The sequence below is a fragment of the Homo sapiens genome, chromosome 2 (genome assembly GCF_000001405.40).
Source record: "Homo sapiens chromosome 2, GRCh38.p14 Primary Assembly".
NCBI classification, from domain to species: Eukaryota; Metazoa; Chordata; class Mammalia; order Primates; family Hominidae; genus Homo; species Homo sapiens.
This window is the reverse complement of record NC_000002.12, coordinates 216791758-216812411: the sequence shown is the minus strand read 5'-3', so window position 1 is coordinate 216812411 and position 20654 is coordinate 216791758. Positions and strand designations below refer to the sequence as shown.

General features: G+C 47.1%; 1 long non-coding RNA gene and 2 pseudogenes across 2 annotated transcripts in view; 2 read left to right on the top strand and 1 right to left on the bottom strand.

Annotated features, from left to right (window-relative positions):
* Positions 1–1338: 1338 nt before the first annotated feature.
* Positions 1339–20654, bottom strand: part of IGFBP-AS1 (IGFBP5 antisense RNA 1) — a 116628-nt gene continuing 97312 nt past the window's right edge. Inside the window, exons 4-6 of one of the 2 annotated variants that reach the window (NR_187138.1) lie at positions 12727–12863; positions 9025–9100; positions 1339–2596 (exon numbers count right to left, since the gene is read on the bottom strand). This is a non-coding gene — a long non-coding RNA (IGFBP5 antisense RNA 1). Of the gene's footprint in view, positions 2597–7125; positions 7688–9024; positions 9101–12726; positions 12864–20654 lie in introns of those variants that run through there. The other variant, NR_187139.1, reaches the window with a different exon arrangement.
* FABP5P14 (fatty acid binding protein 5 pseudogene 14) lies at positions 6420–6889 on the top strand (annotated as a pseudogene).
* RNA5SP120 (RNA, 5S ribosomal pseudogene 120) lies at positions 18812–18923 on the top strand (annotated as a pseudogene).

Sequence of the window (20654 nt, the reverse complement as noted above, 5' to 3'; positions counted from 1 at the left end):
CCACTGTTCCTGTCTGCCGAGAAAGCCCTGTTCACTATTCAGACCCAGTGTCAAAAGTACCGTGCAGTGCTCCATGACCCTTCCAGGAAGAACCAATCCTCTGGCTCCACAATTGCTGTCTCATTACATCTGTGCCATGATGTGTGTTTCGCATGAGGCTCTCTATTAAGCCCTTGAGGGCAGGGACTTTTATATATATATATATATATTTGAGACAGGGGCAGTCTCTGTCACCCAGGCTCTGGAGTGCAGTGGTGTGGTCGTGGCTCACTGCAGCCTCAAACTCCTCAGGCTCAAGCAATCCTCCCACCCCAGCCTCCCAAGTACCTGGGACTATAAAGGTGCACACCACCATGCCTGGCTAATTATTGTATTTTTTGTGCAAAAATTAGTCAGGAGTTTCACCACATTGCTTAAGCTGGTCTCAAACTCCTAGGCTCAAGTGATCTGCCCGCCTCGACCTCCCAAAGTGCTGGGATTACAGGCGTGAGTCACTGCGCCCTGCCAATATTTTATCTTTAATTGACAAATCATCACTGTGTATAGGTATGGGGTGCAAGGTAGTTTTTTGATATACATACACATTATGGAATGATTAAATCAAGCTAATTAACATATCCATCAGTTTACATACTTATTTTTTTGTGTGTGGTGATAGTGGACATTTAAAATCTACTCTCGGCCAGGTGCGGTGGCTCACACCTGTAATCCCAGCACTTTGGGAGGCCGAGGCAGGTGGATCACGAGGTCAGGAGATTGAGACCATCCTGGCTAACACAGTGAAACCCCATCTCTACTAAAAAACATACCAAAAAAAAAAAATAGCCAGGTGTGGTGGCAGGCACCTGTAGTCCCAGCTACTCGGGAGGCCGAGGCAGGAGAATGGCATGAACCCGGGAGGCAGAGCTTGCAGTGAGCCGAGATCACGCCACTGCACTCCAGCCTGGGAGACAGAGCGACATTCCATCAAAAAAAAAAATCTACTCTTTCAGCAATTTTGAAATATATACTACATTATTAACTATAGTCATCATGCTGTGTAATGGGTCCCCAAAATGCATTTCTCTAACTGAAACTTTATACCCTCTGAACAACACCATTTCCCCCCACCCACCACCCCACCCTCACACTTGCTCCCTCTCCCCAGCCTCTGGTAACCACTATTCTACTCTCTACTTCAATGAGTTGGACTTTTTTAGATTCCACACAGAAGTGAGATCGTGGGGTATTTGTTGTTCTGTGCCTGGTTTATTTCACTTAGCTTCATGTCCTACAGATTCACCCATGTTGTCACAACCGACAGGATTTCCCTCTTTTGTAAGACTGAATACTATTCCGTTGTGCATAATACCACATTTTATTTTTGTACACCTGGGGCTGAGCCCAGTGCTTGGCAGAGAGGAGACACCTGATCGATGTCTAGTTCATTTCCGTTCGGGTTTAGGACGGGCTCCAGCTGCCTTGCTTCCCCATCACAGTGGTTCTCAGCTCTGGCTCAGCCTCAGTTGTTCTCCCCAGAGGGCGGGACTTCCCCACAGGCCCCTAGTTCCTTCCAGAGTCAGCGAAGATGTGGGGAGATCCCAGATCGGAGGCAGGAGCTCAGACCTTGGTGGCTCTGGGGAAGCCGTCAGCTGAACAGAGCATACCCTGAACCCTTCTCCACGGCGCAAGAGATGCCCAAGCAGGGAGGTGGCGCCCAGGGGCCGTCTCCGCACACACACTGGCCGTTCTCTTCCAGTGGAATATTCTGGCTGACCGCTCTGGCGTCCAGCACTGGCAGCTCTCCTGGCCTCCCACGAGGGCATTCTCCTCAGGGCACTGACCCACGTGCCTGCCCTGGCGAGCCCCAGGGTGACAGAGCCTCCCGTGGCTGAGAGTCCCCTGCCTGTTCCCCGAGCTCCCTTCCAAACTAGCCCACCCCGGTGCGTTCCTCGCCGCCCCTCCGGCCATGTCTCCCGCTCCTGGGCCCCATGTTGGGTTACCGGCCCCACCATCCTTCCAGCTTCCCTGCAGAAAGCTCCCTGCCGGTCTGGGCCTCCCGCCCGTCTCCCCCACAGCCACCTCCGGCCGTAGAGAGCCCTACCCACTGGACTCCGGCGGTGGCCTGAACTCCCCGCCATGATTTACTGAAACCCCATCACCTCTCGGGCTGCCCACACCAGAGCGTCGCTCCTCTGCTCTTTAACCTTTTCCATCCACCCCATCATCTTCCTAAAATTCAAATCATCCTTCTGCTCTAGGCTTCAGCTCCTCCCAAAGTTCACGGGACAAAACAAAAGCCAAACTCCTTCTGCAAGCATTGAGGTGGCTCCCAGATCTGACCCTTACTGACCCGGGCTGCCTCCCTTTTCAGGGCCATGCCACACGCTGTCCCACTCGTCTGCCTTTTGTCCACCTCCCGTGCCCCCCATGTCACCACCCCACACACTGTCTTCAGGTTCAGCTCACACACACACCCTCTGTGTGACGGGGGCACAGGGAGCTGCCTGCCATACTCACCTAGACGGCCTGGCTCATACATGACACCCAGGCATACAAGCCGAGGAACCTCCTTGCGCCTCAGTTTCTTCGTCTGCAACACGGGGTCGTACGATGCCTGCTGGTCGTTGAGCAGATTGGTTGAGATGTGTTACATGCGCACAGTGCCGTCCCTGGCACATAGCTGTTCATTTCTGTCACTGGTATTGCTGCGTGGTCTCCCGGGAAGATTTCGCCAAAACTGCCTCCTCCCTTTTCACCACATTTTGCCTGAACTCTACATTGGGGCTTTACAGCAGGCTTGGTTTTGCCCATGGCTGCCTCGCTCCAAAGACACTGGGGTGGAGTCTGGTTTGCCTGGCACCTCCCCAAAACAAGCACAGATGAGGCCCCGTGAATGTCAAATCCCTCCTGCTCCTGTCTCCTGAGCTCCTGCCACCGCCAGCCACTCCGAGCGAAGGCCCATTTCACTCTGACTCCACAGAAGGCATGTGTCAGACACTGTGTGAGTGTGTGACAGACGTGCGTGAGTGTGTGTGAGCATGAGTGTGAGGGTGTCTATGTGGGTGAATGTGAGAGAGTGAGTGTGTGAGAAATGCATGTGTGTGAGGGCATAAGTGTGAGTGTGTCTTTGTGGGCGTGTGAGTGTGTCTGTGGGAGAGTGTGAGAGAGTGTGTGACAAATGAGTGTGTGTGAGGGTATGAGTGTGTGTCCATGTGGAGCACTTGCTGTGTGTGAGTGTGAGAGTGTGAGTGTGTGACAAATGAGCGTGTGTGAGAGTGTGAGTGCGAGTGTGTCTAGTGGGTGTGAGTGTATGACAAATGTGTCTGTGTATGAGTGTGTGAGAGTATGAGTGCGAGTATATCTATGTGGATAAGTATCAGGGAGTGTGTGACAAATGTGTGTGCGAGTGTGTGTGGCCATGAGTATGAGGCGTCTATGTGGGTGTGTGGGTGTGAGAGTGAGCGTGTGACAAATGCGTGCTCGAGTGTGTGAGGGCATGAGCATGAGTGTAGCTATGTGGGCATGAGAGTGTGAGATGTGTGAGCGGGGGTGTGGTATATGAAAGTGAGTCTATGTGTGCATGTCTATGTCAGAGTATGCGAGTGTGAGTATAAGAATGTGTTGGAGAATGTGTATTGTGAGAATGTGTGCGAGAGTACTGTGAGTGTACATATGCCTGTATGAGAATGTACAGGTGAGTGTGAGAGAGTATGTGTGAGTGCACAGGTGTGTGTGAGGTGTATTGCGGGATTATGTGTGAGAGAGTATGTGCGTGTGTTTATATGCACATATAAAAGGTGTATGTGAGTGTGTGAGTGCACGGTGTGTACATGTGAGTGCACATATGCATGTATGAGAAGGTGTGTGTGAGAGAATATGTGTGAGTTGCATACCCATGTTTGAGGTGTATGTGTGTGTGTGAGTGCATGTATGTGTGTATGTGTGTAGCTCATGTTTATTGAGCACTTGCTGTGTGCCAGGCATTTTACTTATCAGCAACAAGTAAACTCACAGAGGTACTCATTATTTCCATTTTTTCAGAAAAGATAATAATTAGGTAACAAAGAGATTAACTTGCCAAGGGAGCTCAGATTCAACCCAGAAAGTGTTACAGTAATAGTAATGCCTGCATGTGCAACTACCAGATTTACTGCTAGAAATGGCTGCTTCAAGATTCCGTCTCACCCCCATGTCCCTGAGATCTGAAATCAAGGAGTGTGTGTGTTTATGTGAGTGTGAATGACTCCGTAACCAGGAAATGAAAACTGGGCAACTTGGGCAGGGGCCAGAAAGCAGAGTAGAAGAATGGGAACCACACAGAGGTCTTGCGGTTCTCAAGCATTCAAACAAGCTGGTCTCTGCAGAGCGCCCCTCTTGAGTTGGGGCTGAGTGGTTTCCAGGCCTAGAAATCAGCCTGATACCAGGTGAGTGCCAGTTGGCCTGTAAGCAGCAGCCATTTGTTCCTGGTTGAAGCCAAGCCACTTGGAGTTGTCGGATCAGCAGATGTCAGGGCAGGGGTGGGGCTGCGGGAACCCATGTGAGCAATCATCCCATTATTGGTTGCTCACGCTTCCAGGGGAGCTACAGTGGTTGTTCTCAAAATGAGGCCCCAGGACCACAGACAGCAGGATTCACACGGAGAGCTTGCTAAATTGCAGATTCCTGAGACCCATTCTCCTGGATCACAGTCTCTGGGATATGACCTTACAATCTGCATTTCTAACAAGAACCTCTGGTAATTCTGATTTGCTCTCAAATCAGAGAATCACCAATCTACAGACATGCATAACTGTCTGTCTTAGAGCATTAAGAATGATGGGCTGGGTGTGGTAGCTCACACCTGTAATCCCAGCACCTTGGGAGACCGAAGCAGGCAGATGACTTGAGCCCAGGAGTTCGAGACCAGCCTGGGCAATATAGTGAGACCCTGCCTCTATTTAAAAACAGGAAAAAAAAAGAGCGATGAAAATAAATTCTTTTTGTGAAATTAATGATATTCACAATATGTACATTGGCCAAAACAGTTTAGAAACACTCTGGATGTGAACCCATGGAGACCTAGGCTGCACCTAGGATGGCTTCTGGAACTCGACCCACCAGCAGTCCTGTGTCCAGTCATTGGTCAAGAGAATCTTTAATTGCCTAATGCCAATAATCAGGGTAACCAGCTCCTGCCTTTGGAATTGTGTTGTTTCTGCCTTGAATAAACTGGTGGAAGGTAAGAGGATCTACAAGGACAGAGATCAGGGACTTATTTAAGCTATCAAAGCAGGTGCCTGTTTGATCATGAATGCTTATTTAATCATCGTAGGTATGAATCTGGTCTGAGACTTATTTTCATTAGAAGATGCTGGCAGGGATGAGAAGGAACAGCTAACCTCACCCAACTCAAGCTTCCTTGGCTCTATCATTAACCACTAAAAAGTACCCAACAATTGTGCTCAAACAGATTGACTCAGGTTGGCTTGTAACAAGGCAGACGACCCAGTAGTGACTCACTTATTATGGGACAAGCAGAAGACACATTTTCAAGTGTTCACAATTGTGGTTGGGGTACCCTAGACCACCTGCCTTGGTTCACCTAAGGAGCTAAGGTGCAAATTTCTTAGCCCCTTTCCAGACCTATTGAATCAGAATCAACTGGGGTAGGGGGAGCTTTTCTAGAAATGACATTTTTTAGAAAGCACTCCAGTGATTTTCTGCACACTAACATTTGAGAACCACTGCTAAGAAAATCTTTTCTCGCTTCTCCACTCCCAAGGTCAAAGCTCATCACTGGTAAGGCCGACCTCCAGAGAACAAGCATTAACCACTTATCTTTCTTCCTTAATTGCATCTCCTGGTCTACTTCTGGGAAGAGGAGAGCCATCCAGGAGGCCAAAGTAGAAATAAGTCAGAAATAAGGAGGCTGTGGTTTGTGAACTCCACTATTAAGCATTTAACAGGGCAGGGTGCGGTGGCTCACGCCTGTAATCCCAGCACTTTGGGAGGCCAAGGCAGGCGGATCGCAAGGTCAAGAAATCAAGACCATCCTGGCCAACATGGTGAAACCCCGTCTCTACTAAAAATACAAAAATTAGCTGGGTAAGGTGGCACATGCCTGTAGTCCCAGCTACTCGGGAGGCTGATGCAGGAGAATCACTTGAACCTCGGAGGCGGAGGTTGCAGTGAGCCGAGATGGCGCCAATGCACTCCAGCCTGGTGACAGAACGAGACTCTGTCTCAAAAAAAAAAAAAAGAATTCAAACAGGAGAGTATACCTCCTCGACTCTGACCACCTTGCAAGGCCATCTGCCAACCATAGTCACCACTCAGCAGCTGCTAGGAAGATGGCGCCCAGCAGAGAGGAAATACCTCAAAGAAACAGGGATGAGAATGGCCCTGCAAAATTGGTGCAATGACTAAACCAGATGGTGCCATCTCTGATGGCAAAAGCTTCACTATAAAAACCAAGAGCACTCTGAAAACAACACGGTTTTCTTCTAAACTTGGAGAGAAGTATGAAAGAACTACAGGTGATGGCAGAAAAAACTCAGACTATTTGTCTGCAACTTTACAAAGCGTGCATTGGTTCAACACTGGGAATGGGATGAGGAAAGAAAAACGCAAGAAGAAGAAAAGTGGGAGACAAAAAAGCAGGGATGGAATGCATTATGAACAATGTCACCTGTACTCAGATCTGTGAAAATAAAAAAAGCAGAATAAAAATTTCCTTACTGCTTTGGAGAGCAATTAGCTGAGAGAAGGAACAATTTCAGTTCAATGAACATATCTCCATCCTGCTTGTTTTTGTTTTTATTTTTTTCATTACTGTGTTTAATTATCTTCATCACAAATATTTTACATGCAGCTATTTTAAAGTGTTGGCTTAGATTAGGATCAGCCTTTGGTTAGTAAATAAATGTGTGTTTTTGCTCAAAATAAAATAAAATAAGGAATTCGAGCAAGAGGCAAACACCCAACAGAGTTTCTAGCTATTATCCCAACAGGGAAGTTATCATTCAGGTGTATGCTTGTAGGACCTGATGAAGTTCTAAAATTTTTATAATTATTCCTTCATTTAGTAAAACAAAGATGTGGGCAGGCGGGGTGGGGAGGTGACAGGCTTGTCTTTGGAGGCAGCGAGGAAATAGGAGCCAGGAAGAGAGTGTTCCACTCTGCCTTTATTGGCGGAGAAGCAGGTTAAAGAACAGAAAGGATGGTGGCAGTTCCCAAGAAGAGAGAGAGAAGGAGGGACCTACCATGATGAACCAAAATCACAGGAGCTGCTGTCCCTGGGGCAGGGACTCAGAGCCAGGCCTTGGACTCAGTACTTGCCTTATCCAATCCCAACTCTCCCAGTCAGCCAAAGGTTATGTCTAGTTTTTATCTTTACAGATAAAGACACTGAAACTCAGAGGGGTTCAGTGACCTACCTGGAACACTCAACTTGAAAGTGGCAGAGTCCTGGAGGTGACCTGCATCAAAAAGTGTTCCAGGCACAGGGGAGACATGGCAAAGGACTGGGAGTGGGAGGGAGCAGGAGAAATTCAAGAACGAGAACCTGAAGGGCGAGCCGTGAGAATGAGTCACAGAGCAATTGGGAGCAGGGGAGCGGGGACTAGGCCTCTCTCCATGCTGAGTTCTCAGGAGCACAACCAGCACTGATGAAGCAACTGTCATGTGCGAGGTGTCAGGGGATGTGCTCCCTCTGCTCTCGGAGACTCTGATCAATGGGAAGAAAATAGACAAAAGAGCTCATCACTGAGTGACCAAGTGCAAAGACCCAGCGAATCCTGGGGCCAGAACCTGCAGACTCAGCAGCCTCTAAGTCTAGTTTGCTTCAGATTTCAGTGCTTGAAAAGACAGGAGCCCCAGAAAGTTCTGCCCTCCCTCCTTTCCTCCCTTCCTTCCTCCCTCCCTTCCTTCCTTCCTTCTCTCCTTCCTTCCTTCTCTCCTTCCTTCCTTCTCTCCTTCCTTCCTTCTCTCCTTCCTTCCTTCTCTCCTTCCTTCCTTCCTTCTCTCCTTCCTTCCTTCTCTCCTTTCCTTCTCTACTTCCTTCCTTCTCTCCTTCCTTCCTTTCTTCTTTCATTTTTGCCAATACAAACTATGAGCCAGACCCTAAGAAAACAATTTGACAAGCATCTTCCCCCTGCCCTGATGTCCATGATTCTGACATCCACTCCAAGAAGCGTGAATTTTCATCATTCCCATTTTAAATTATGAAGAAACTGAGTTCTCACAGCTGGTTGGTGACCATGCATGGACTTGAACTCTAATCTCCAAACCTCTACGCCTTGCTTTGTGTTGTTTTCCCCAAACCCTCTAGTCTCACCCTCGCCTTTTCCTTTCTGAGGCAGCTGTTGAACAAACCCAGCCAACCCCATGAGCTCCACCCCCACTCCTGCCACGGCTGCCATCAGAAAGCGGACAGGCCAGGACAGTAAAAGGGCGCACTGGCATGCTGCCCTGAGAGCAGCGGGTCACAGGCTGTGCCAGGGCTGGGCTCCAGCATGAGCTAAATCTGCCTCTCCCTTCCTGCCCGCCCGCGCCCCCACCCCCCCCCCCCGCCACAACCCCGACCCTGGCCAAAGTGGCGGGGAGCGGGAAACTAAAGGAAAGAACATGTTAACCATCTGCAAATATCATGAGAGGTGTGAACATAGAGAGCCAGGATACGATGTATACCCACTCTCCAGGGCACCCACGACTGGGGGCTGGGCAGGGGCAGGAGCAGCTGCTACAGGACCAATTTATGAAAGACACAAAAGAAAGATGAAGGTGGAGGGAGCCTGACCCAAAAGGATTAGGATATGAAATTGCAGAGGCATAGAGGGTCGGGACACAGCTGTAGAAAGGCCTGTAAGATGGCCTGGCTTGAAGAATTTTCAGCCTCACCAGACCCTAGCGGTGGGGTTCACTGCCCCAGCCTCCTGGCTGGGAGTCCAGGCTGGGCTGAGTGGAGGGAGGTCCCTGCTACTGCCTCCCAGAGCTGAGGGGAAGAAAGAAAGGCTGACCTTTGAGGAGAAGCTTGGGGTTGGGATGAGGAAACAAGCACTCTACCCTTGTAAGATGTGTCTGGCAGCAGAATCTAGAATCCTGGCTGACCCAGAGCCTCATCATGTGTTCTTTTTGTTTTCTGTAATGACAAAGATAAAGAGTGGGAAAAATAAACCAATGAAACATGCAGAACTCCTCTTTCACCTGCCTTGACCCTGAAGAAAGCAATCCCATTGGCAGACTAGGGGCTGGAGGGAGCACACAAGCTCAATAGCAGGCTCCAAGGTCCCGCCACCATGAGCACTAACTGGTAGCCTGCTCCACCTTTTCCCACTCCCATCCCCTGGCTTGAGAAGATTGTCAGGCTAAGCTGCCCCTGAGATGGACACCAGCACGCGTCACTCAATCTCTGGAAGTGTTGGTCCATCCCCTTACATCTGCAGCTGTCAGGCAGCCTCTTTGAGAACAGGCTCTGGTTACAGGGTATAAACAGGCCACAGAATCAGCTGGCCCTGGTCTGGCCCATGCTGCTGGTGCTTCTAACTTGAGGGGTGGGGAGCAGTGACAAAGCTGGAGGAGGGATTTGCAAAGTGGGATGGCCCCTCTCTCTGCATGCCACCTCCTCCTCTCCTTCCCCACTCATGTGAATTTTCGCCAGAGAATACAGATCTTCCTTCCCTGCAGTGGTCATGTGTCCCCGTGACCTTGGCATGGGCCGCAATGCAAGAGCAGCCCATCTTCCAAGTCAATCGGGTCAGAAACGTGCTGTTTGAGACCAAACACCATTCCCTGTCATCGCTGTGCAGACACAGAGATCCCTTTCATCGGAACAACAGAATCTTCTGTGTATTTGTCTTCCTTCCAACCCTAACCAGTGGGATTGAAAGTTTGTATCTTTTTGGCTCCAGGAGACCCTTGTTGTACCCAATATGGTATTCTGAATCTCTAAATGCTCAGCCAAGACCTGCAGATGATTAGGGTAAGCGTGCAGTGGGGGCTTCCAGAGTAAATGTTGCAAACCCAACAGAAGGGGCCACTGTCATTCTGGAGGGAAAAACAGAAATTCAGACTGATTTTCTTACTGAAGGGCCTCCCTATATCCTTCAGAACAAAGGATTGCTGGGGCTGGAATTCTGCCTGGTGATTGAGAACTTCAGAAAGCAGATGACATCTGGTGGGCCCATCCAGGTCTATAAATTCCTAATACAGTGTGAATATCCCAAACAGAGTAGAAGAAATCACTAGAAGCTGAAGCAAATAGTATAGATCCAAGGGGAGTGACCAGCTATCAAAAGGGCAGAAAGATTGGCTTGACTCAGCCTCAAGGCCACCTCAAGTCTCCTAATTGGCAGGCTTGTGGAATTGTATCTGTAGCTCTCACTTGAGAATTATAGATCAATTTCAGATCAGAACAATGGGCTAGATTGCTGCTATTCAATAGCTGTGTGATCTTGGGAGTCTCTTCGCCTCTCTGTTAGTCTGTTACCTTCCAATAACATGCAAGGATCTCTAAATCAAATTCATCCACATGTGCAGATCAATCCGCACATATGAATGACACACAGCCTTTGTTATTTTTAAGATGGGAAAAGACAGGGGTGACTAGGAGAACAGGGGGCTTTCAGAAACTGAGAATGTGGAAGATGACCACCCCTGAATGGAAAGATCAGAAAGAAGAGGAGGCAAGGAACAAAAGAAGAACTTCAAAAGACTGAGCTATGGGATCTAGAGTAGGCTCTGTGCACTTCCAACAAGGCCAGGCCAAACCAGGCAAAATTCTGTGGTTTTAGCTATGCAGCTACCAAGGTCCTCCGCTTTCTATCATTTAAGAAGTAGGTTTGTGTAGGTTTGGAGTGTAGCGTGTATGTGTGTTTTAACTTGGCTAACTTGAAACTTCCTTCCCCCAGATTAATCAAAGAATCAGCATATGACTTACTCAGAATATAGGTCACAGAATTATAGAATGTTATTGCAGGAAGAAGCCTTTGAGGATACACACTTGTACACACCCAAAGAGTGGCTTAATAAATGCATGTTGAATGAGGACACTTCATTACAGGGTTAAAGAATTATCCATCTATTCAACAATTATTACATACCTATTATGTGTTGGATCCTGTATTAAAATTAGGCCAGTTGCACAAATTCATCTGCTAGAGCAGCAAAAAAAATATTTTATTCAAGGCTGTTTAGCAGTTTAATCAAAAAGCTAAACTATTTTTTAAAGCCCTGAATGATATTTTTTTCCCCTATACTTGGACAATCAGGCATATGGGCCTTGGCATAAAAATGTTCCAGATCCCAGTTGGGGTAAGGCATGTGGCTAAAAAGACCTTCGAGCACTTCCAGTCCTTTCCACACTCCTGGAAGGTTTTTAAGAAAAAAAGAAGAAAAAGAAACACCCTTTGGTTTCAGTATGCACTCTCTGTACTTGCATCTGTCTCTTTGGACGTGGTTGGCCAAAGAGTCTGCTAAAAATATAACGAAAGAAGGTGGGTGGGAAGTGAGGAATATAGGGAGAAAATTGAAAAAACTAACCCTGTTCCTTGCTGGCTGCCTCCCCCCACAAATTCACCACAATGTTTAAGCATGTCACTATTTATCCCTCTTTTTAGCCATATTTTTGACACTTGACATGGGTATATACTGTCTTTTAAATAAAAGGTAAAAGTGCTCTCATTTTTATTCTTCCTGTTGGGCTCAAGAGTCTCTGAGACTGAGAAAAACTCTCTAGCTTCAAGCAGGTCTTTGTTCTGATTTTGCTGCCTCCCAATGGCTGGAAGGCAGGCTGGGGAGTGGTGGGAAGGGTGTTTGAGCCAATACCCATTGTATGGGTAGCAGAATCCGCCAAGATCCTGAAGGTATACGGGAACCAGTTTAATAGACTTCCAAGGACCAGCCAGCTGGGAGTACCCAAGTCTCTGGTTTCTCAGTTTCCAGGATCTGTTCATCCATGTCATGGTTGGAGTTTGCCCAAAGGGAACAGAGGAAGGGAGCTCAGCAGGAGCTAGTCCGGGAGCTGGGTGGTTGGATCATTGGGCTTCTTGGAGTTTGCTTCAACTCTTCCCTTTCAGCAAAGGTTACTGGAGCAGGCTGGGCCTACTTGGGCTAGGAGAGCTGAGTCATGCATGGGAAGGGACACCAGCAACTATAAATTATCTTGTGTGTAAGGCTGGCTTTCGAAAACTCTGGCTTTGGGCTTAGAGGCTTTATTTATATCTCTCACAGGAATATTTTTCAAACTCATGACCATGCACTCTGTATTGCTTTGGGGACACTCCAAGCACCTGGTCTCCTCTATGATGAGTCCTGCAGGTGACAGTCCCCAGAGGCCCTGGGCCTGGACTCTGAGTCTGCTGTCACTCACACCCACACGTACACCCCCTTGTTGCCAAGGCCAGGACCCCATCCCACACATAGATGCATGTCCAACTTCATTGGCACAATGTTGCGTGCAGACACACAGATGACATTCAGCCACACATCCACACACACACACACACACACACACACAGAGTCTCTCTCTCTTTCTCTCCCTTTCTCCCCATATGCAAACTACTACAACCCACTGGTTCTCTGCCCATTTCAGAGACAGCCTCTGCTCACTGTGAAACCTGCAACACACAAGAATACTCCACAGGCTGAAGGGCCCCTCCAGGAGTCAGATGCCCACTTCTCTGGCTGAGGAGCATTTTGTAACTGACTGAACACATTTTTTTTTGTGCTTTGGTAATTTGGTTTGCTTGTTGTTGTTGTTACTCGTACCTTACAAAGTGGATAGCGAGGTACCATAAAATAGTAGCTGCCACCTAATTCACACTCTTGAGAACAGTTTCTCTGGCCAAATCCTCGCAAATCAGAGTGAGGTGCCATGGAGATGCTTCTCCTCCGTCTTGGATTATCTGGCAAAGAGAAGCAAAATTTCCTGAGCACAAGTGCAAGAGGGGGCAAGGTTATCTCTTCTGATAAATGTGAATGCTTTTGTCTCTTCTTAGCCCACTGACATTGTTTCTGTATCTTCCACCTCCCTAGCCTTTTCTTTTCTCTTCCCTGCTTTGTAATTAGATGATTTTTGAAAATTTAATAAATTAGTGATTGTTATTTATTTCCCCTGGCTTATTTACCATTATTTGTTTTTATCAAAGTCTCTTCAAGATAGATAGAAAGTATCTCATTGTGGCCACTTTCCTGAGAGAGACACAGGAAAAACAAAACACTTTTCCTAGGATCTCATAGGACAGTGGCTGTGATGGGTTTGAGTCCAACACCTCCAGACCCTGCCTAGCAAATTGCTTCTAGAATGATGACCACAGGTCCCTGTAATTCATCCAGCCCAACTTCTATCCTCTGAGCCCTGTGTCTTCTTATTCAAAGGACATAGGACTGACTTCAACACTCACTCACTACCTTTCTGGGAAGCAGTACTCCTAGACTTTGAGGCTAGATCTTATGGGGCTGTCCTCGCCTGTCAGTAGAAGGGATAGTTAGGGCTCTACATGGGGCAGCAGTGACCCTATTGTTGATTGCCACAATGCCAGAAATTTGAAAAAAATGTCATAGTTCTACTTGAGGTTAGTGTTCCCCAGTTCCTCCCTCTTCCCACCTGATTTCCCCAACATCATAAGCACATGCTGTTCACACATATCTAATACTCTTATCCCACCATCATCTCTAGCTATCTTCCAAGCACAAATATATACATATATAAGGAATCACTTTCTCATCCCTGGATCATCCAACCATCTTTCTCCCGCTACTCAAACATTACTTAACTTTCTACTTCTTCCACCAGCTTTTTCAGACAATTTATTTTCCTCTTGACTACACAAAGCACTAATTCCTGCCACATATATCTCATGGAAATGTTTGCACCTCATCCTTCCATGGCTGTTCAATGCTAACAGTTCAGTTGTGCTTTTCGGGCAATGGGGGGCATGCCAGACAGTTCCACCTGTCCCTCCAAGTCCAACCTTCTCCATCCTACTGAGCCTCAGGAGGCCAACCCCTAGGGGCCCTATCAAGGGGAGTCCCTTGCCCTACAGTTTTCATTTGGATTTGGCCAGTGGGAGGCACTATCTGGAAGTCAGAGAGAATGAAGAAAGGGGAAGCTGGGAATTGATTCCCTCATTCTCTCCTTGCAGCATTGTTCCAGGTTGTCTGGGCTCCTTACAGCTCCTGGCATATCGTCCTCTCTATGGACCTATACATTAGTTTCCTGTGGCTGCTATAATAAATTCCTGCAAACTTGGTGGGTTAAAAACAACAGTAATATGTTCTCTCATAGTTCCAGGAGGACAGAAGTCTGGAATCAAGGTATTGGCAGGGTCACGCTCCCTCTGGAGGCTCTGGGATCAACAGGATCAGTTCTCTGCCTCTCCCAGCTTCTGGTGGCTGTCAGCATTCCTTGTCTTGTGGCCTCATCACACCAATCTCTATCTCTGTGGTCACATTGCCTCCTCCTCTTCTGTCTTCTCTTCTGTCTAAAATCCCTCTCTTTCATTTACGAAGACATTTGTCATTAGATTTAAGGCCCACTTGGATAAACCAGAGTAATCTCCTGATCTCAAGATCCTTAACTTAATGATATCTGCAAAGACCCCTTTTCCGAATAAGGTCACGTTCGCAGGTTCCAGGGATGGCCACCAGGCTCAACTAATTTTTTGTGTGTTTTTAGTAGAGACGGGGTTTCACCATGTTGGCCAGGCTGGTCTCGATCTTCTGACCTCATGATCCACCCGCCTCGGCCTCCCAAAGTACTGAGATTACAGGTGTGAGCCATCACACCTGTCCCGTGAACAATCTTTTTATTACTTTCATTAAGCTCACTTCTAATCACCCAGTTTGTTTCCTAACTGGTACAGGCATCTTGAGGTCAAAGGCATCAGGTAAAGCATCTGTGGGACTCACCCTATGCACTCTATGCAGAAAGTAAAGATTTATTGATGATAATGATAAAAATGAGAATAAGAACTTCAAGAGAGAAAGGGCCCAGCCCTCAGGAGCAGCATCATAGCAAACATCGCATACAGTTCCTCCCTAAACTCAGTCACGGGTACGAAATGAAGGGGTAGAATTGGAATGATTCTAGATTCTTTCCAGACCCTTTCTGTTAAGACTATTCCACTTAGAATATTTCAGCAGCAAGTAAACAGAATCAAATCCTCCTCCAATCTTGACTCCAATGGCTTAAATGGTGGCTCTCAAACTTTAGCATGTACCTGAAGGGCTTGTTAAAAGGCAAACAGCTGAGCCCCCCTCCCAGAGATTTTAATTAAGTAGTTCTGGGTAAGACTCAAGAATTTGCATTTCTAACAAGTTCCCAGGGGATGCTGATTGGCGTTTCTGGTCCAGAGACCAGACTTTGAAAACCACTGGCTTAAAATAGGTGAAAAATTTACTCTCTCATATTAAAAAAAAAAAAATGCCCTGGAGATGGTGGCTTCAGGGTTGGTTAACTCAACAGCTCAACCAGGTCCTCAAGGACCTGGCTCCACTCTGCTGTGCCATCCTCAGCATGTCAACCTTGACCTTGACCAGGTCCTTACAGCTGCAGGCTGGGTCCGACAGTTCCAGGCATCCCTTACAGGCTGGATAGTGGCCAGCAAAAGAGATTAAGCTTCTTAAGGATTGAGAACTCTTCTAGTTGTTATCTCCTTACATCATATTGGCCAGGATCACATCACATGCTTGTACCTAAACCAATCACTGTCAATGAGAAGAGGAACAGCAATGATTGGCTTATACCCATCAGCCATAGGAAGGAAGAGTAGACACCAACTATGCTGATGGGCTCTGGAGATAATAGAAAAAAGGATTACATCACCTGCTTAGGTTTTAGGCCTGCTAGAGTACTTCTTGGGTGTTGTCTGTTCGGCAAACATTCCCATCGTCTTTCTTCTGCTACTTGGAGGAGTGGGCGTAGGACTAAGGACGAACAAAGCCTAGTGGTCTGTGTTCAGGCAGCAGTGACACGTAGCCCAAGTAGGGAAACTGAGAATCCTTCCCTGAGTTGCAGCGAAGAATACGGTAGGGGGAAAAGGCACTCTCTTTCTGCAGAAGTTGCTAAGCAGGGACAGCTGGTGGTTATGTGCCTCCTAGGAGACGAAAGCCTCTGGGAAGTACTCAAAATTAACTAGCAGTCAGAGAAGCACAGATAAGCAGAGATGAGCAAACAGTGATTGCTGCAGCTCTTCCCCTATTTCTGTGAGGCATCTCAGTGCCCTTCGTATCTCTGGAAGAAATGTCTCATTTGTCTACACTAATCGGAATTATGTTTCTGTTCTCTGCAACCAAACAAGTTCAGATTTAGACACTGGTTCTGTCATGAAGGACAGAGGGGAGGAAGGTCTGAGGATTACATAAGGGTGGAGGTGGCTCGCACCACCTCAGCTCCCATCTAGAACCTCCACTCTTGGCCACATCTTCCAGACTGGGAACGAACAAAACAGAATCCCTACCCAAAACCCCAGGCCCCAGCCTACTCCATGATTGGCATGTAAGAAATGCACAAGGGCCCTAGGACCTTCAAAGACAGGGCAGAGACAGAGAAAAGACAAACCAGGTTTAGTGGGGCACCACCCCTTTCTTGGCAAAAGGAGTACTCCTGGCCACAGAGACTGGGGAGCATAAGAAAACAGTCTGCACTCTCAGCGCTTCCCTCATCTTCTCCAACAGCTGCTAGGGTGAGGGCAGGGTTAGGGCATCCTCCCTCAGGTGGAGATGTGGACAGAGGATTTCTCCAAGGGTAGATTTCACAGGGAGGAGGACCAACCCCAGACCCACTCTAGGTTTCCTCCTGGGACTTTTTTTCCCCTAGGGAAGAGAGTTCCTCATGCATGTGCTAAAATAGAAAGTTGCTTGTTTGTTTTAATTTTTTTTTTTTTTTTGAGACCAAGTTTCACTCTTATTGCTCAGTCTGGAGTGCAATGGCACGATCTTGGCTCACTGCAACCTCTGCCTCCCAGGTTCAAGTGATTCTCCTGCCTAAGCCTCCCAAGTAGCTGGGATTACAGGCATGCACTACCATGCCCGGCTAAGTTTTTTAATATTTAGTAGAGACGGGGTTTCGCCATGTTGACCAGGCTGGTCTTGAACTCCTGACCTCAGGTGATCCACCCACCTTGGCCTTCCAAAGTGCTGGGATTACAGGTGTGAGCCACCATGCCTGGCCCTAAACTTTTTTTAATGAAACATAACAACCTACATATGCAAGGAGCACATGTGATGTGTTGATACATGCATAATAATGTGTAATGATCAAATCAGGGTACGTAGGACATTCATCACCTCAAACATTTACATTTCTTTGACATTGGAAACATTTCAGATCTTCTCATCTAGCTATTTTGAATTGTACAACATATTACTGCTAACTGTGGTCACTCTGCTGTGCTATCAAGCACCGCAACATATTCTTCTAGCTGTATGTTTGTACCCATTAACCACCCTCTCTTCCTCCAACTCCCCACCCTTCCCAAACTCTGGTAATTAGCATTCTACTCCCTACCTCCATGAGATCCACCTTTTAGCTCCCACATATGAGTGAGAACATGCAATATTTGTCTTTCTGTATCTAGCTTATTTCAGTTAACATAATGACCTCCAGTTCCAGCCATTTTGCTGCAAATGAGGACATTTCATTTTTATGGCTGAATAGTATTCTACATGTGTATGTGTTACATTACTTTTAATGGCAAAAATCGCAATTACTTTTGCACCAACTTTATATATATATGTGTATATATATGTGTGTGTATATATATATATAAAATACACATACAGATATATATATATATACATCTCACATTTTCTTTTCTTTTCTTTTTTTTTTTTTGAGACAGAGTCTTGCACTGTTGCCCAGTCTGGAGTGCAGTGGTGCGATCTCCGCTCACTGCAAACTCCGCCTCTTGGGTTCACACCATTCTCCTGTCTCAGCCTCACGAGTAGCTGGGACTACATGCACCCACCACCGCACCTGGCTAATTTTTTTTTTTTTTTGTATTTTTAGTAAAGACGAGGTTTCACCATGTTAGCCAAGATGGTCTTGACCTCCTGACCTCGTGATCCACCCGCCTTGGCCTCCCAAAGTGCTGGGATTACAGGCGTGAGCCACTGCACCCAGCCATGTCTCACATTTTCTTTTTCCATTCATTTGTTGATGGACACAGGTTGATTTCATATCTTGGCTATTTTGAATAGTGCTTCAGTAAACCTTGGGATGTAGGTATTCCTTTGATATACTGATTTCCTTTGGATAAATACCTAATAGTGAGACTGCTGGATCATAGAAAAAACAATTCTAAAATTTGAATATTTGTTTTTAATGATCTTACTAGTAAAGGATGCTAGCAAATCAGCAAATTCTGCTAAGGCAGTAGAAGTCTGCTCAAATAATGTTTCCATTTCCAATGACTCATTAAGTACAATAATTACAACAATTACCATCACTTCTGTTGCCTTCATGCTGTCTATTGATCCACACACTCTGCCCCCAAAACTGCACTAAGCACTTAACAAGGAATTCACATACTAATGAGTGGGGTATCTGCATGACCCCTCCACAGAGTAAGATAAATAAATTGATCTTTTCTTCCATTGGCAATGGAATAATAACAATTTTTACTTTTCTTTTTCCTTGTTGCCATCCATAGATCTATACCCATTAGAAATCACAGCGAGAAAAAGAGCGGCAGGGGAGGAGCTCAAGAAGAGACGAGAGATAGGAAAGAAGCATTATAATTTGGCAAAAATGTGAGTCAGGGAACCTCCCTTTTTCTAACCCCTGGAAGCTCTAGCTGGAGCTCATCTTGCCTCCAGATGCAGAAAGCATATTCTACGCCATAGGGTCACCGTCTACGGCCATATCACCCTGAATGCACCCAATCTCAGAAGCTAAGCAGGGCCTGACCTGGTTTATACTTGGATGGGAGCCACCACAGCATCGCTGATGGAATCTCTAGATTAAGTGGTAGCTGGGTCCAATGTGGGTTTTTGGCAAGAGGAAAATAATAGAAAAGGAAGAGAAAGAGGTGTGTGTTTCTGCTTCTGTTGAAATACTATTTGTCCTTTAAGGCTGCCTGCTCTGTGAAGTTTTCCTCAAATTCTGTCCCATCCCACTCACCCCTGTCAGACTTAACTACTCTTCCTCCATCCTGCCATAAGCATGTGTGATAAGAGAAATCAAAGAGGACTATCAGTCTTCTGTGCATAGTGAGGGTGCGTGTGTCTAAAGCAGAGTGCAGAAATGTCTGCATTTCTTTTCCCCTACTCTCATCAAGAGCTGGAGCTCTTCCCCACTGCCGGCTTTGGCCCTGTAACTTGCTGTGGCCAACAGAACATGTTACATGTATTCTAAGCCTGTCTTCTAGAGGCTTTGCAGGCTGCCCCTTGCCTCCTTGGAACCCTGCCTCTGCCACCTGAGCAAGCTCAAGTCTGCCTGGGAGAGGATGAGAGAGTATGCAGAGAAAGGCTCCAGTCATCCAGGCTATCACTGACCAGCCTGGCCCATCAGCCAGCCTACAAACACTTAAGCAAGTGCAGCCAAGAGCCACAGAGCCCAATCTGATTCAGCAGGCCTGCCCTGCTGGTTTGCAGACTCCGCAGCAGTGATGAAGGAATGTTGTCAGACATCGCTAACGCTAGGGGTAGCTCATCATGCAAAAGCTAACTGATGCAGGTTGCTGGCCCCCTCTAAAAGGGAATGCCAAGAGGGCTGTTAATCTTAGATCTCTCTATATCACTCCTCCACTAATATATTCTTGGGACATTCCTGATTCTCAACCAAAGCTCACAGACTGGAGAGGCATAGGGTGCAATGGAATGGAACTGAAATGTTGATAAAGGGCGGAGCACCCACAGAGCACGCCATGCATGCACTAATGGAACTGTCTGGCTCTTCTCCACATCCCCAGGGCATGAGCTTGGGAAAAAGGTTACCTGATCTCCAATGCCTTTGTCTATTAATTCATTCAGGGCTGGATTAATCCCTGCTCAGCTTCTCCTCCACCTCCCCACCACCCCTGTCCCCAGTCTGGCTGCTCAGATGATGTAAGCAGTAACCAATCTTGCAGTCGGGGCAGTCAGCTGGCTGGCTCACTTCCGTATCCATTAAGGGAAGGCAGACACTTTAGAAAGAACTGGAAAATATTACCAACCACCCACTCCACTCAACTCCCCACCCCTTGCCCCAGTCTCCTCTCCCCGTCACATACACCCTAACCTCAAGAGACTGGAGCTGGAAAGTACTGAAGCCAAAGAAAGAAGAAACTGGAATTGTAGCCCCACAGATCTCATGGGTTGAGACACAAGAATCCTTTGGCATGAGAACTAGTCTTGGGAGAGACGAACCAGGGCTATCTCGAGAGCCCCATCAGCTACCCTCCCCCTCATCCCAGGCATCCTCCCCTCCAGGGGCTTTTCCATTTGGTACCAATGAAATGGGTATTCAGGGGCCAGAATGTCAGCATCAATGGTGGGAAAGGAGCCACACAGAAAATGCCCATCCCTTATTAGAAGTTGCTAGACTCCCTTACAGGGGCACAGTGGGGACCCAAAGTTGATGACTTGAATAGACATGGGCAGACTGAACGTGGTCTGTTTGCTGAGTTCAGGGTTTTCAAAACCTGTCAATAGTTACACTATTTCTCTCAATATCTACTATGAAAGGAGAATTCTACCATTGAAGAGCCAGCCCT